At 44.5% G+C, this 17259-nt stretch overlaps 1 long non-coding RNA gene across 14 annotated transcripts in view, besides 2 other annotated features; it reads left to right on the top strand.

Annotated features, from left to right (window-relative positions):
- Positions 1–17259, top strand: part of LOC100130256 (uncharacterized) — a 96216-nt gene that overhangs the window by 13744 nt on the left and 65213 nt on the right. For 13 of the 14 annotated variants that reach the window (NR_187625.1, NR_187623.1, NR_187620.1 and 10 more), the window contains exons 2-3: positions 15205–15368; positions 15774–15869. This is a non-coding gene — a long non-coding RNA (uncharacterized LOC100130256). Of the gene's footprint in view, positions 1–2893; positions 3278–15204; positions 15369–15773; positions 15870–17259 lie in introns of those variants that run through there. The other variant, NR_187631.1, reaches the window with a different exon arrangement.
- Positions 15760–16309: an enhancer, noted in NCBI's record as "H3K27ac-H3K4me1 hESC enhancer chr2:171538465-171539014 (GRCh37/hg19 assembly coordinates)". NCBI's record gives its function as "activates a minimal SCP1, AML or CMV promoter by ChIP-STARR-seq in primed H9 embryonic stem cells {active_cell/tissue: H9 hESC(primed)}" and the evidence as "EXISTENCE:reporter gene assay evidence [ECO:0000049][PMID:30033119]".
- Positions 16439–16639: a silencer, noted in NCBI's record as "peak3923 fragment used in MPRA reporter construct". NCBI's record gives its function as "represses an SCP1 promoter by STARR-seq MPRAs in K562 erythroleukemia cells {active_cell/tissue: K562}" and the evidence as "EXISTENCE:reporter gene assay evidence [ECO:0000049][PMID:32103011]".

Below are 17259 nucleotides of genomic sequence, written 5' to 3'. Positions count from 1 at the left end.
TGCCTCCCTGGTTCAAGTGATTCCCCTGCCTCAGACTCCCGAGTAACTGGGACTACAGGCGTGTGCCACCACGCCCAGCTAATTTTTGTATTTTTAGTAGAGATGGGGTTTCACCATGTTGGCCAGGATGGTCTGGATCTCTTGACCTCATGATCCACCTGCCTCGGCCTCCCAAAGTGCCGTGATTACAGGCGTGAGCCACCGGCCAGTTTTTTTCCCCTTTAAAAAATGTTGTTAATTGTGGTTATAAAAAAAAAAAAAACCCACAAAAAATTGACCATCTTAACCATTTCATAACCATTTCAGCAGTGTTAAGTATATTCACATTGTTGTGTAACTAATCTCTAGAACTTTTTCATCTGGCAAAATTAGAACTCTGTACTTGTTAAACAATAACTCCCTCTTTCTCCTCCTACCCCCAGCCCTTGGCAACCACCATTCTACTTCCTGTTCCTATGAATTTGACACTCCAGACACCTCATATAAGGGGAATCATACGGTACTCGTCCCTTTGCGTCTGGCTGACTTCCCTTAGCATCGTGTCCTCAGGGTTCCTCTAGGTTGTATTGCACATCAGGGTTTCCTTCTGGTTTTTTTTTTGAGATGAAGTCTCACTCTTGTCCCCCAGGCTGGAGTGCAATGGAGCGATCTCAGCTCACTGCAAACTCTGCCTCCCGGGTTCAAGCGATTCTCCGGCCTCAGCCTCCCGAGTAGCTGGAATTACAGGCGACTGCCACCATGGCTGGCTAATTTTTGTATTTTTAGTAGAAATGGGGTTTCACCATGTTGGCCAGGCTGGTCTCAAACTCCTGACCTCAGGTGATCTGCCTGCCTTGGCCTCCCAAAGTAATCCCAAAGATTACAGGCATGAGCCACCGCACCCAGCCAGGGTTTCCTTCCTTCTTAAGGCTGAAATCAAGACAGTGGTTTTTTTTTGTTTTTTTGTTTTTTGTTTTTAAAGAAACCTTGCTCCTGGAGGTAGATAAGATTATAACATTTTAGGTTAGAGATAGGCCTGGAAGGTAGATAAGATTATAACATTTTAGGCTAGAGATAGACATGGAAATGCAATTTGAGGGCCAGAGAAGTTACTCATAGAAAGCCACCCCGCAGGTTAGTGTAGATGCCTCGGTCAGAAGCCAGGGTCTGAGGACATTCAGAGCAAGTACTTTTTCTGCCACACCAGGAGATGAGGGGCTGCACTACAGGTAATCCAAAAAGAAAGATTACAGGGTTTAAAATAGCATTAGAGAGAAGGGAAAATAGCCTTGGTTGTGCAGGACAACACAATGTGCACCTGGGGATGTGGGGCAGCGAGCCAGGGGAGGGGTTAGAATATAAGGAGGGGACGGGGGTAGAGGAAAGACTGATATGGGGAAGGGAGAAGTTAAAGGGAGAGAAAATCAGGAGAGGAGGGAAGGACGGGAACTTAGCGACGGTGGAAGACCCAGGCTTTATAAAGGTGCTAGTGACCTGGCTCTGTGGCTCACGCCTATAATCCTAGCACTTTGGGAGGCCCAGGCAGGGGGATCACTTGAAATCAGGAGCTTGAGAACAGCTTGGGCAATATAATAAGACTCTGTCTCAACAAAAATTTAAAAAGTTAGCTGGGTGTGGTGGCACATGCCTGTAGTCGCAGCTACTACGGAGGCTGAGATGGGAGGATCCCTTGAGCCCAGGAGTCGGAGAGCACAGTGAGCTGTAATCATGCCCCCTGCATTTCAGCCTAGGGGACAGAGCAACCTTATCTCCAAAAACTAAAAAGAATCTTTTTAAGTGCTAGTGAATAAAAATTACTCTTGCCCTATAGCAGCTAAATCCTATTTACTTCAGGCCCACCTCCTTCAATAAGCTAAGTTTAGTGAAAAAGCATGGAATTCTCTAGTGTCCCCCACTCCTACCCGTCCACTGATGCTTGAAATACCTCAAAGTAGGACAGTGGCTTTCAGGCAGTGGAGAGAAGTCTTAAATTACACATGCCTTGCTGAGTTAACAGATTGATTGGCACTCTGGCCCTTTAGAGTATAATCAACCAACCTTCAACAAGTGTAAGTGATTTTATCAGAAACTTCTGGGAAGGAGAGTGAGCGGAACAGGTGGGTTGCTGGATGGCTAAAAAGGGAGCTACTGTATTCATGCAGGAGAGAACCACGGGGGAAGCCAAATCAAAGACAACTGCACTGTGGCTTGATCTCAGCCTCATTTGTCTGCAGTGGTGGTAGGCCTGGGTGGCAGACCTGCTGTGGCCAGACAATATGAATGTGAATCCATAGATTAGATTTGCATGATTTATGATGATTTTATTTTCTTAACCCAGTTAGTTTCTTTAACAAGGAAGCTTTGTCTCAGATGATTCATGAATAGCAGTATCAGGCAACACATAATATGTATGTTTTATAGACACCCAGAATGTACTCACACACACCCATGGAAACCTTAATTGGATGTTCAGTTATTTTGAGAGACTTCGTTTTCTGAGAACTAATTCTTCAGAGACTTGCAGAAGAGAGCAGAAGCCACCTTTATGACGGACACAATTTTCTTTCCTCTGTTCAGCTCCTGGCTGCCTATGAACTTATCAGCCTCATTTCCATATCAAAGAGGAGGCAGGAAAATACTCCCCTGACCGACATAAAAAGACACATTACTGCAGATTGTCTAAGAACTTGTTTTTTTTTTTTTTGGCCAAAATTAGCAAGTTATTCACAGTAATAGGTGAGTCAGACAACAATAGTGTTTAAGAGAACAAAGCCACTCATCAGGACCCTGACCCCAAGCAGGGTCCCCAGCTGCCAGAACATCTCTGCACACTGGCAGCCAAGAGGCTATAAAAAAAGAAAAAGAGGCAGCCAGGAAGTCTGCCACTCACCCAGATGCAGCGACCAGAACATTCATTCCAGGGCTGCTCTGCAGCTGCCCAGGCAGCTCCGTGGGTGGCCACTCTGCTAACGTGGGAGCACACGTGGCTTCCATCTGATGAGCAGTCTCAGGGAAGCTGGGGGCTTCAGACACCAAATGTCTATTTCCCTCCTTGATTTGAGACTCTTTTGGAGCTCTTGGAGACTTCCAGCAGAAACCTGAGCTGCCGGCTGCCAAGAATCAGCGGTGGATTTCTTGACCTGCTCTTAATACCAATTGAATAACCCCTTTGAAAACGTTCACATACATGGGGTACAAGGTGGTACCTTTGTGCATGAGACTGTTCTGGAGACGGCTTATCACCCAGCAAATCAGTGTTGGCCATCTGGGACTCAGCGACCCTTTCTACGAGGCTATGGTAAGAGAGTAAATAGAAAAGGCCCTGAAACTGGACCTGGTGACTAGGGCTTCCAGGAGGGGGAGAAAGGTCTTTTTTTTTTTTTTTTTTTTTTTTTTTTTTGAGACGGAGTTTTGCTCTTGTTGCCCAGGCTGGAGTGCAATGGTGCCATCTCAGCTCACCGCAACCTCCACCTCATGGGGTTCAAGCGACTCTCCTGCCTCAGTCTCCTGAGTAGCTGGGATTACAGGCATGCGCCACCACGCCCGGCTAATTTTGTATTTTTAGTAGAGACGGGGTTTTTCCATGTTGGTCAGGCTGGTCTCCAACTCCCAACCTCAAGTGATCAGCCCGCCTTGGTCTCCCAAAGTGCTGGGATTACAGGCATGAACCATCACATCCAGCGGGAAAAAGGTCTTAATGCAGGAGCTGGGATCCCTCTGTGGGCATCTGGGCTCTGACTTCCGCAGGCAACACCAGCAGGGAGCACGGCCAAACCAGCACATTGGGGATTGACGCTGCTGATTGCTGATCACACCTCCTGCTGTAGGACACCCCCCACGGTCCCCAACCCCCGTAAGTAATGTGGATATGTCTGGGGTCCCGGCCTCTCAGTGGTCTGTCCTCTGCCAGGTGACAGCTAGGAACCTCATAAACGGCCTCGTGCATTCTATCAGAGGCTTTTGAAGACAACATCTCAACTCAAAAGAGTGTCTCCATCTTTAGGGATTCCCACAGGGGTGCTTAACTCTGGCTGTAGGTGAGAATTATTTGGGGAGCTTTTCAAACCTAATGCCACCCAGGCCCCACCCACACTAATTAAATCAGAATCTGTGAGGCTCAGGCATGGGCTTTTTAAAATATACTTTTATTTTGAAATAATTACAGATTTGTAGGAAGTTGCAAAAATAGAGATGTCCCATGTATCCTGCATTCAGGCTCCCCCAGTGATTACATCTGACGTATCTATAGTACGATATTAAAACCAGGACGTCGCTGGGTGCAGTGGCTCATGCCTATAATCCCAGCACTTTGGGAGGCTGAGGTGGACAGATCGCTTGAGGTCAGGAGTTCGAGACCAGCTTGGCCAACACTGCAAAACCCTGTCTCTATTAAAAATACAAAAATTGGCCAGGTGTGGCGGCGGGTGCCTGTAATCCCAGCTACTCAGGAGGCTGAGGCAGGACAATCGCTTGAACCTGGGAGGCAGAGGTTGTGGTGAGCCAAGATCGCACCACGGCACTCCAGCCTGGGAGACAGAGCAAGACTCTGTCTAAAAAAAAAAAAAAAAAAAAAACCAAAAAATACAACATCGGCGTTGGTGCACTGTGTATAGTTCCTGCCATTTTATGACACATGCAATTTTGTTGTTTTGTTGTGTTGTGTAACCACCACCGCGGTCAGGACCCAGACTATTCCATCCTTGCAAGACTCCTTCCTGCTGCCCCTTTACCCTCTATAGTCATACCCACTCTCCATGTTCCACCATCCCTAACCCCTGGCAATGCTAATCTGTTCTTCATCTCTCTAATTTTATCATTTTGAGGATGTCATACAAACGGATTTTCCAGCATGTGACCTTCTGAGACAGGCTCTTTTCACTGAATATAATTCCCTGCAAGCTGTTCAAAGTTGTGTGCATCTGTCCTTTGGGTCTTGTTATTGCTGCACAGTGTTCCATTGTACAGCGCTGCTACAGTTTACCCATTCACCTACTGATGGGCATATTGGGACAACTTGGTCTAGGTGGAGAAGTGAAAACGTAGATATTCGAATACCAAATTTCCCCATGTTTCCAGCTTGGGGCTATTACAAATAAAGCTGCTATAAACATTCATGCACATTTTCTTTCTTTCTTTCTTTCTTTCTTTCTTTCTTTCTTTCTTTCTTTCTTTCTCTCTCTCTCTTTCTTTCTCTCTCTCTCTTTCTCCCTCTCTCTTTTTCTTTCTTTTCTTTCTTTGTCTCTCTCTTTCTTTCTTTCTCTCTCTTTCTTTTTTTTTTTGATGGAGTCTTGCTCTGTTGCCCAGGCTGGAGTGCAGTGGCTCCATCTTGGCTCACTGCAACCTCCGCCTCCCGGGTTCAAGCAATTCTCCCCCTTCAGCCTCCTGACTAGCTGGGACTACAGGCACCCGCCACCATGCCCGGCTAATTTTTTGTATTTTTAGTAGAGACGGAGTTTCACCATGTTAGCCAGGATGGTCTCGATCTCCTGACCTCGTGATCCGCCTGCCTTGGCCTCCCAAATTGCTGGGATTACAGGTGTGAGCCACCACACCTGTTTCATTTTTTTGAAAGCTTCTCCGGTGATTCCAATGAGAAGCAGGGCTAAGAACCCTTGGACTAGGTGGGGAAGTGAAAACGTAGATATTTGAATACCAAATGTCCCAAACATTTTTTAAATCCCTTGTGTGAGCTTGTGCTGTGTGGCAGGGAGTGTATCAGAGTAAATAAGAGCCTGCGTGCTGCCACTCATCTATAAAGTGGGCAGCAACACCAACCTCATTGTATTGGTTTTTTTTTTTTTTTTTTGAGATGGAGTCTCGCTCTGTCCCCCAGGCTGGAGTGCAATGGTGTGATCTCGGCACACTGCAACCTCCACCTCTTGGGTTCAAGCACTTCTCCTGCCTCAGCCTCCCAAGTAGCTGGGATTACAGGCACCCACCATCATGCCTGGCTAATTTTTTTTGTATTTTTGTAGAGATGGGGTTTCACCATGTTGGCCAGGCTGCTCTTGAACTCCTGATCTCAGGTGATCTGCCCACCTCGTCCTCCCAAAGTGCTGGGATTACAGGCGTGAGCCACCGCGCCTGGCAGCTCATTGTATTGTTGTGAGCATGCAGTGAATATAACGCACATAGATACTTAGAACACAGCTCAGTAAGTGCTAGTGCTTATTATTATTGTGTTGGAAACTGAACTTATGTCTTGTTGATTCCTGGCCTAAAACTCCTCAGTGGCTATTGCAATAATCACCTGGGGTTCTACGTGCAAGCTTTCATTAACTCGTATATCATGAAACTTTGAGGGGGCTGAAGTCTGAGGGTGGGCGCCACTTCCTCCTGAGAAACTTCTGTTGGTTTTAGCCCCTTTGCTGTGCTCCACAACACCCTAGTGTGGCTGTTCCTTTTATGACACTTCCTCCTGGATATTGAAGTTGCCTCTTTTTGTGTCTGTCTCCATCTATATGTGCACTGTGGGCTCCTTGGGGGCAGGGATGTGTGTCTTGCTCACATTTTATCTGGTGCTTAGCATAGTGCTTGATAGTAGGTCCTCATTAAACAGATGATGAATGGATGAACAAATGAATGACCCCAGGGTCCCGTTAGTGTGTGTGGCAGGAGAGGATTTCACTCCCAGTGAGTTCCCTGAGAAAGTCCTGGTTTGCTCCTTACTCAGGTCAGTGGAGGCTAAGGAAGCCTGAGCAGAAGGCAGAGCCTGGAGTGGTCACTGACTTCTCCCTGCTAGGGGCTTCCAGCTGTCAGGTTGACAGTGAGCACTCGGAGGGAAACACTATACAGCCTGGGAGGACGTGCACAAGGTTACCACCACAGGCCTCACTAAGGTGGTAGGAGCCGAGCAAGTCTGGGCTTCAGCTGGCAGAGGCAAGGTCACGCGGCGTGAGTGCCATAACCTCTCTGCACCTAGCTTTAGTGATATGCAAAATGTGGACAGTTGGTGTTATACCTTAGGCACAGGTTCTGGAGGCAGACTCCCTGGGGGTGATTCCCAGCCCCTGCACTTCCTACTTTGTGACTTTGGACACTTAACCTCTCTCTCTGTGCCTTATTTTCTCATCTACAAAATAGGCATAATCACAATATCTACCCTATAGGGTTATGAGGATTAAAACAGTTCCTAAATGTGAAGGACTTAGAGCAATGCACAAAATTAATGTCAATTACATTTTTAAAATGCACAAAAAATACAATGAGCATAAAGGAATGCTGTGGGAATCAAATAGAAGGAAAGCGGAGTCATGTTGCCTATGATTCTGGCAAGGCTCGCTGAAGATTTTGCTTGCTATTTTAGTCTAGATTTAAAATTCCACAGCCAGATAAATATCCAGAAAATAGTGACGCTGTAGCAGGGAGCTATTGGACACCGTGTAACTGATCTGCTCAGGCGGGACCAGAAGTCGTCACCATCTGATGTCTGTCTTGTGGCTACATGAAAGGAAGTTGGGGGTATGAGTCCAGTTCCTAGTGGACAGGTGTTTGAAACTCAGTGCCATCTTTAGAATTGGCACCCTTGGTGAGGCCTCCACAGACAGGAGAGGATTAAGTCGAGAGGAGACCAAATTGCTCTTCCACCTGGAGCTGGTGGCCTCAGCAGGACAGGGCTGAGGCTCAGTGACAGAGAGTGGGCGCCTAGAGTTAAAACCTTCACTTTTGCTTATGCTCTGTTTTGCAGAGAAATCTCAAGTTCTGGTCCCCAGAGCAGTCAATCCAACAACTTGCATAGCTGCTGTCATATTCACACAATACTTCCATCTGGCCACAACTGTTTCAAAGAATCAGATGCATCGCTTGTATTATGAAAAGAATAATGTAATTAATGCAAAGTTTTAGGCCCTGAATTCTGCTGTCAGAAATGAAATAAATCAGTGCCATGGATATTACCTTTTCTTTAGAAGTTTTTATTTTAATCAAAGAGTGCTGGTAAAGAAAGGATTTATTTTTATCTTTTTTTTTTTTTTTTTTGAGATGCAGTTTTGCTCCTGTTGCTCAGGTTGGAGTGCAGTGGCGTGATCTTGGCTTACTGCAACCTCTGCCTCCTGGGTTTAAATGATTCTCCAGCCTCAGCTTTCCAAATAGCTGGGATTACAGGTGCCCGCCACCATGCCCGGCTAATTTTTGTATTTTTAGTAGAGATGAGGTTTTGCCATGTTGGCCAGGCTGGTCTCAAACTCCTGACCTCAGGTGACCTGCCTGCCTTGGCCTCCCAAAGTGCTAGGAGTACAGGCGTGAGACACCACGCCCAGCCAAGAAAGGATTTTTAAATTATCTTCTTCTTGTTTTCTATGAGGAGTTCAGATTTAAAGTGTTGATTTTTATTAATATATAGAGATTTTCAGACCCTAAGTAGAGTGTATCTCCAAAATTAGGAGCCTAAGAAGGAAATCTGTCTCCCTGAATTGGAAATAACATAAGTATGGATGAAGTTTTGCATGTATGAATGTTGCATCTTCGGAAATCTCTCCAACTATTCTCGTAAATGATTGGCAAATGTGACTGACGGGACTGATGTTTCTCCCAACTCTCAGCTAAACAGGTGACTCATTCGGGATTAGCAGTATTTTAATTACTGGTGTTTCCTGTTCTCTGAAACAATGTTGTAAGGTCAGATGATCATGGTGCTGAAGGTAAAATATTGGAAACAAACTTGAATGAAGAAGCATTTGTCAGTCATGAGAAAATGGTGTTCAGCTGGCCTGAGACAACCTGTCCTGCCTTGTAGGAGACTAGGTGACGGAGCTGATACATGAGGACTTTGTCACTCCACACCCTCTCCCTTGCAACAGCCCCCTCCTTGGAGAGTGTGTCTCCATGCAGACTCCCAGGCCCTACCTTGGAGACTCATACCCCCAACTTCCTTTCATGTAGCCACAAGGCACTTGACTTGGCTTGTGTGGTTGTCATGCAGGGGTTCTCACCCAGCACTTTGAGAAATGTGCCTACAGCTCCTCTATTGACCTCATCCTCCCCAGTCATCTTTTCTTTTTTTTTTTTTTTTTTTTTGGAGATGGAGTTTCGCTCTTGTTGTCCAGGCTGAAGTACAATAATGCTATCTCTGCTCACCGCAACTTCCGCCTCCTGGGTTCAAGCGATTCTCCTGCCTCACCCTCCCAAGTAGCTGGGATTACAGACATGCGTCACCATGCCCGGCTAATTTTGTATTTTTAGTAGCGACCGGGTTTCTCCATGTTGGTCAGGCTGGTCTCGAACCCCCGACCTCAGGTGATCCACCTGCCTCAGCCTCCCAAAGTCCTGGGATTACAGGCGTGAGCCACCACGCCCGGCGACCTCCCCAGTCATCTTAGCTTGATCGTCTCAGAGTTTGCTTAGATTTTCCTACTGACAATAAACTGCTATTCTGTTTTATAAATCTGTCTTCTGGAAGATTATGTGGAGGTTTTAACTTGCTTAAAGGCTTAGGGTTCAGCAGAGGTGCCTCGGGGTATTGGGGGTGAGGGAGCCTGAAGGAGAGGAGCTTGGGCCGGCCCTGCCTTCTCTGAAACTAGAACCGCTTGTTCTGTGCTTTTTTTTTTTTTTTTTTTTTTTTAAGACAGAGTCTCACTCTGTCACCCAGGCTGGAGTGCAGTCGCATGATCTCGGCTCACTGCAACTTCTGCCTCCCGGGTTCAAGCGATTCTCCTGCCTCAGCCTCCTGAGTAGCTGGGACTGCTGGTGTGTGCCACCATGCCCAGCTAATTTTTCTATTTTTGGTAGAGACGGGGTTTTACAATGTTGGCCAGGATGGTCTCGTCGATCTCTCGACCTTGTGATCCGCCTGCCTTGGCCTCCCAAAGAGCTGGGATTACAGGCATCAGCCACCGTACCGGCCACAACAACTATTAAATGGTCAATGCACAAAGACAAACATTGCCAACTTTCTAGTATAACTCTTTAATATTTTCATGGCTACTTAGGCTTAATTGAAAAATAAAAATAGTGTCGTTTTGTATTTTTTTTAATAGCCAGGCTTCTTTTTCTACCTTTTTGAGCCAATTTAAGGACATTATTCCGGCTGGGCGCGGTGGCTCACGCCTGTAATCCCAGCACTTTGAGAGGCTGAGGCGGGCGGATCATGAGGTCAGGAAATCGAGACCATCCTGGCTAACACAATGAAACCCCATCTGTACTAAAAACACACACACACACAAAAATTAGCCGGGCATGATGGAGGCACCTGTAGTCCCAGCTTCTCGGGAGGCTGAGGCAGGAGAATGGCGTGAACCCGGGAGGCGGAGCTTGCAGTGAGCCGAGATCGAGCCAGGGCACTCCAGCCTGGGTGACAGAGCGAGACTCCAGCTCAAAAAAAAAAAAAGAAAAGAAAAGAAAAAAGAAAAAGACTATTATACCATTGAATGGTGGCAACATAATTACCTAATTAATGCCCTACTTTGAATATTTAAATTGTTTCCAGTGTTTGCTTGTTTGTTTGTTTGTTTTTTTGGTATTATATACAGTGCTGCAAAGAACATTTTGTATGTATCTCAGACCATTCTCCTAGGATGCCTTCCTATTAGGGAATAACTGGGCAAGAAGTAAGCATGGTTTTCAGGTTTCTGATGTATTCACTCTGGGTGCAGGCCAGGAACTTCATGCTGATTCATGAACTTCAGCGGACTTGGGTAGTACCCATTTCCCGGTATCCTCACCAACACTGAGCACTTTAAGGAAAAAACTGCTATTCTGAAAGTAAAATGGTATTTTGTTTGTAATTTCTATTTTACTACTAGTGAGGTTGAACACTTTTTCTTTTTTTTTTTTTTTTTTTGAGATGGAGTCTGCTCTGTTGCCCAGGCTGGAGGTAGTGGTGCAATCTCGGCTCACTGCAACCTCTGCCTCCCAGGTTCAAGCGATTCTTCTGCCTCAGCCTCCCAAGGAGCTGGGACTACAGGCGCCCGCCACCACACCTGGCTAATTTTTGTATTTTTAGTGGAGACAGGGTTTCACCATATTGGCCAGGCTGGTCTCAAACTCCTGACCTCGTGATTCACTCGCCTCGGCCTCCCGAAGTGCTGGGATTACAGGCGTGAGCCACCGTGCCTGGCTCTTCTTTTTTTTTTGAGACAGGGTTTTACTCCTGTTGCCCAGGCGGGAGTGCAGTGGTGCCATCTCGGCTCACTGCAACCACCATCTCCCGGGCTGGAGCGATTCTCCTGCCTCACTCAGCCCCCCTCACTCAGCTGGGATTACAGGTGTGAGCCACCGTGCCTGGCCTGAACACTTTTTCATATGTATCCATTTGTATTATTTTGTGAACTACCTGTGTATGCCGCTCTTCTTTATTTTTTTATTGGGATGTTTTTCTTGTTCTTAATAGCTTGTAGAAGCTCATTATTGTCCTTGAAGGCAAGACCATGATGTCTTGATTTCCATCATGTTCCTAATGCATCATAGCAGTCAATACATATTTGTTGAATAAAAAAATAGTAGGGCTATTAGTCTTTATCCTATGAACAAATTTTCTTTCCAGCTTATTGGTGCAATTTAATATTTTACAACATTTTTATTGTAAAATATATATAGCATTTATCATTTTAAACATTTTTAAGTGTACAATTCAGTGACATTAAATATATTAACATTGTTGGGAAATCATCACTGATACCCATTTCCAAAACTTTTTCATCTTTCCAAACTGAAACTCAGTACACATTAAACAATAACTCCATTCCCTCAGTGCAATTTATTTTATGGTGTCTTTGACATGAGCAGGTTTTAAATTTTTATGTAGTAAAATACATTATGATTTTTCCCTTTAAGTTGTCTTTGATGTTATGCTTAGAAAGGTCTCCCTGCCTGAGAAGCATGGATACGTTCATATACATTTTCTCCTAGTTTTTCTATTGCCTCGCCCCGCCCCGCCCCGCCCCGCCCCGCCTCGCCTCACCTCGCCTTCCCTCCTCTCTCCTTCCCTCCCCTCCCCTCCTTTCTTCCCCTCCTTCTTTCCTCCCCTCCCTCTTTCCTCCCCTCCCCTCCCCTCCCCTCTCCTCTCCTCTCCTCTCTCTTTTCTTTCTTTTTCTTTTCTTTCTCAGGGTTTCACTATGTTGCCCAGGCTAGTCTTGAATTCCTGGACTCTAGCAATCCTCCTGTCTCAGCCTCCTAAATAGCTGGGATTACAGGCCCATGCACCCTGTTCTTCTTATATTCAACTCTTTCTTTAATCTATCTAGAATTCTTTTAAAATAAAGCACTAGTTAATGGCCATTGCGGGGCACAATTCTCCATGTCTCTGGTGTTGCTGCATGTTTTCTGAGCGAAGGCACTGCTTCGACCTCAACTATCTTTTCAGAGTGTGTATAGTGAACAGCCTTGGAAAACAGAGATGGTTTCCTCTTAGGAGCAGAGAGCAGGTTGGTGGCTTATGCATGTAATAAAGATCAGTGGCAAAGATCAAGCAGGCATACTGCCCATTACAAAAGAGCATAGCTCCTTCAGCTTGGGATTCCTCTCCTGTAATCCACCCCACTGCCTGCAGGCAGCATCTGGCCCTCTTCACATCACCCTGTGGGAAATGGGGGCTCAGGGAGCCGGTGTAAACGTTGACCTCCAGGCTGCTGCTACTGCCATTTTGTCTCTGACCCAAAAGTCTTGTACCTTCTGCCAATATCCGTGAAACTACAGCAGGCTAACTTGGTAGTTTGCAAGTAGGTAAAAAGCCCGAGGCCCTCACAGTTTTTGACAAGGACTGAACTGTATTTTTTTTGAAAGTTTAATTTTTTTCAATGCCATGTATTGAATTATTCTGGACTGATTTGAAATTTCACTTGCATCATAAGAAATATGAAGATATACTTGTGTTTATTTCATATCTTTGCTGTTCTATTTCTCTGTCTATTCTGGTGCCAGCAAAATGCTCTTATTTTTGTAATTTTATAGTGTGTTTTAACATTGAGCAGTAAATATCCTCTTTCTTTCTTGATTTTCCCCCCTCCTTTTTTCTTTTTTTCCTTCCCTGTCACTTTTAGTGTTTTTCTGGGGCTCTTTGTACCAGATAAATGGTACCTGGCACATAGCAAATATTCAATAAATGTGTTTTGAACAATGTTAGTAAAATTAAGAGTTATTTTGTCAAGTACTCAATCCCTTTTGAATTTTTATAATTATAGCAATGAAACTGGAAACACTTTAATTTTCACATGTACTACTAATTTCTTAAACCGTTCCTTTAAATGTTAAGAATTCAACTGTTACTGATTATATAATTTAAGCAAAGAATTTAACCTATTACAAAATGCCTAATATAAATATAAAGGGTTCTTGCACTGTTGTCTAAATTGCAGTTTCCTGGATATTTAGAGAGTTCTGAAATTAATGATATTTTTCAACAATCCTAAGGAAATTTATAGGCCAAAATTTATTTACCATCTTTTAATGGGCTTTATTATTTCGTCATTCCTGCTTTCCATTAGAGTAAAATATTGCTTTTGTCTTTGCTAGGAATGTTACAGTTTACCATCCCAGAAGAGACTTTTTAGTAAAAAAAAAAAAAAAAAAAAAAAAATTGATGTCAAATATAGCATTTATTTATGCGAGACATTAGGGACAGGGCAAATATGTGAACTTAGTCTGTTATCAGATTGCTACTTAGGTGTCATTGAGATTATTCTTAGGGATTGCTGCTTTTCTTTTCTTTTTCTCTCTTTTTTTTTTTTATTTTTTTTGAGACAGAGTTTTGATCTTGTTGCCCAGCCTGGAGTGCAATGGCGCGGTCTCGACTCACCGCAACCTTTGCCTTCTCCTCCAGGGTTCAAGCTATTCTCCTGCCTCAGCCTCCCGAATAGTTGGGATTACGGGCATTTGCCACCACACCGAGCTAATTTTGTATTTTTAGTAGAGACGGGGTTTCTCCATGTTGGCCAGGCTGGTCTTGAACTCCTGACCTCAGGTGATCCGCCTGCCTCTGCCTCCCAAAGTGCTGGGATTACAGACGTGAGCCACGGTGCCCGGCCAGGGGTTGCTGCCTTTCTGTGGGCTACTCTACTAGTTGCTGCTTGGGCCGTGACCACTGCTGGTGACCTGCCTGGCACTGTGAAGGTGACATGGCCAGCCACAGCAGACAGTGTCCTATACATAGGTATCTAAGACCTTGGCCAAGGCAGCAACTTCTAGAGCACTTGCCTTGCAGACAGACAGGGATCCTAACTTTGTTGACCTGAAAACATTAAAGCTGGCAACTAGTCCTGAATCCCATGTTCACTAAGCCCAGATGACCTGTTGATTGATGATATTGAAAGAAAAATAAAAGGTTAATACCCTACAGGGAAACAGATAAATTTTCCAGCACAGGTTTAGTTGAGTTCACATGAATTTCCTCATTTTTCTCATGTGTTCAGGGCAAACTCCATTTCCACATTCTGGAAAATCTGGTAGAATTGCTGTCAGTATTTATTTATTTATTTTATTTTTTATATATATATTTTTTAGATGGAGTTTCACTCTGTCCCCCAGGCTGGAGTGCAGTGGCGGGATCTCAGCTCACTGCAACCTCCACCTGCCGGGTTCAAGCGATTCTCCTGCCTCAGCCTCCCAAGTAGCTGGGATTACAGGTGTGCACCATTATGCCGGCTAATTTTTGTATTTTTAGTAGAGATGGGGTTTTACCATTTTGCCCAGGCTGGTCTTGAACTCCTGACCTCAAGTGATCCGCCCACCTTGACCTCCCAAAGTGTTGGGATTATAGACATAAGCCACCATACCTGGCCATGCTGTCAGTCTTTTTTTTTTTTTTTTTTTTATTTTTTGAGACAGAGTCTTGCTCTGTCGCCCAGGCTGGAGTGTAGTGGCACGATCTCGGCTCACTGCAAGCTCCGCTTCCCAGGTTCACGCCACTCTCCTGCTTCAGCCTCCTGAGTAGCTGGGACTACAGGTGCCCGCCACCACGCCTGGCTAATTTTTTGTATTTTTAGTAGAGACAGAGTTTCACCTTGTTAGCCAGGATGGTCTTGATCTCCTGACCTCGTGATCTGCCTGCCTTGGCCTCCCAAAGTGCTGGGATTACAGGTGTGAGCCACCGCGCCCGGCCACTATGCTGTCAGTCTTTAAATGACTTTGGTACCCGCATTGGTTCATATAGACATAAAGGTGTTGAAGTTTTGGAGGTAGGGACTAGAAATAGTTGCAAGTATCTGCCTTCTAGCCACAAGATCAATCTGGCTTTTACTCAGTGTTAATGCTTCTATTTCTTTCTTTCTTTCTTTTTTTTTTTTTTTTTTTTAGGTGAAGTCTCACTCTGTTGCCCAGGCTGGAGTGCAGTGGCACGATCTCGGCTCGCTGCAACCTCCACCTCCCAGGTTCAAGCGATCCTTCTGTTTCAGCCTCTCCAGTGGCTGGTATTACAGGAACACACCACCATGCCTGGCTAATGCTTCTCTTTCTATAAAGTAAGGCTCCATTTCTTTATTTTTCCCCCTTGAAACTATTCCCAAAATTTAGTAAAGCACTTTGTAATATGTAAGGAAATGCATACAATTTCTAGATTTATATAATTTCTAGATGATCATACTTTCTAGTGAGAGGCTTGTGACGTCTGTTTGAAACCAGTGACTGGAAAACAAAAATGTTACAATAAAAAAGCCAGGTGCTTTGCTAAGCGTTGCTAAGATGAACTTGCAATCTCTTCCATTGCTCCTCCTGAAGTGAGGGCAAGTCCCCTTCCCCCACATTTAGTTGTCAAACTCATCTGTGTCATTTAGATAGTTTTGAAGTTGCATAGATCGATCCTAAACATTCTGCTGTGAAGGGCTTTATGTTTATGGCCTTTCTCTTTTCTCTCATTCCTTATCCAGTGAAGACGTGAGGCCGTGTAAGCTCCAAGAGAGCAGGGATCTTGTTTGTCTTGGTCACCGTGATATTTCAGCTGCTGACCCAGTGCTTGAAGCATAGTAAGTGCTCAGTAAGAATGTGTTGCATGAATGATAGCTGGTGTTACAGACTAGAGAAAGTGTTCCTGGCCGGGCCTGGTGGCTCATGCCTGTAATCCCAGCACTTTGGGAGGCCGAGGCAGGTGGATCACCTGAGGTCGGGAGTTCAAGACCAGCCTGACCAACATGGAGAAACCCCGTCTTTACTAAAAATGCAAAAAATTAGCCGGGGTGGTGGCGCATGCCTGTAATCCCAGCTACTCAGGAGGCTGAGGCAGGAGAATTGCTTGAACCCGGGAGACGGAGGTTGCGGTGAGCCAAGATCACGCCATTGCACTCCAGCCTGGGCAACAAGAGTGAAACTCCGTCTCAAAAAAAAAAAGAAAGAAAAAGTGTTCCTAAAAGAAGAACTGCAATTTGTCATGGCAGTCGGGGAATTAGAAATGGCATTCTGGGAATTCTGGTAACTAGCTTGATGACTGTATAACTTATTCCAGGTAGGATTATTCATTATGCTTTCTTCAACCAGCTACACTTTACTAATTGTTTTAGAAGCAAACATCACTAGCAGTCCAGAAAGCAAGCAAGCTGGAATCTAAGTAAAAGAGATTTACTACACATAATGAAAGCTGCAAATGGCTGAGGTGTCTGAATCTCTCCTAAAAAGAGTTTGCATTTTACTGTTGCAATTTACTTGGGACAATATAGATCTGGTATCCATAATAGGCCTGTGGGCCAAACAAAGCTTTGTCACATGGAAGTAGCTGTTGCTCAGCCAGGAATCATGAACACTTGCAAAAAGAGGAGTTGTGTTTGTAGCCATTGGAGAGAATCTTTGTAAGTAAACTCTTTCTCTCGTAATTGAGAGTTGCCATTTTATTGGTGGGGAAAAATGCCCAATTTTACAAAATTGCAAAATCTCTTAGATCCTGTTCTGAAAATAAGTTGACATGAGCATTTTCCACATTCCCTGAGGTCTGGCCTGGATTCTGTAATTTACATGACATGATTAGGAGGGTTCTATGCCATTTTAGACTAATTATGTAAATTGGAGGGAATTCACCCCTTCATTATGAGTAAGTATTTATCTTATGAGTACTAACTTGTAATAAATGTTTAGTTTGCTTCTTTTTGTGCTGCTGTGGATAGTTGCCTTAAAGTGCTGTTAATTTGCCAATAAGCCTTAAACAGGATAACCAGGCATCTCTTTTTAAAAGACCAAAATTTAAAACCCAGATTAGAAGATTGATACAAAATGCATTTGGCCAGTATTTAGTCATCTTATTTGGCAGATTTGTTTTTATTGCTGCTCTCTTAAAAAATATAATGACAACTGTATAGTCTGTTAGATTTTTTTTTTTTTTTTGGTCTTTAACTTTTCAAAATGTTTCCAGGCTTTACTACTTGGCAA

Source organism: Homo sapiens, chromosome 2 (genome assembly GCF_000001405.40).
Source record: "Homo sapiens chromosome 2, GRCh38.p14 Primary Assembly".
NCBI classification, from domain to species: domain Eukaryota; kingdom Metazoa; phylum Chordata; class Mammalia; order Primates; family Hominidae; genus Homo; species Homo sapiens.
This window is presented reverse-complemented; position numbering and strand designations above follow the sequence as displayed.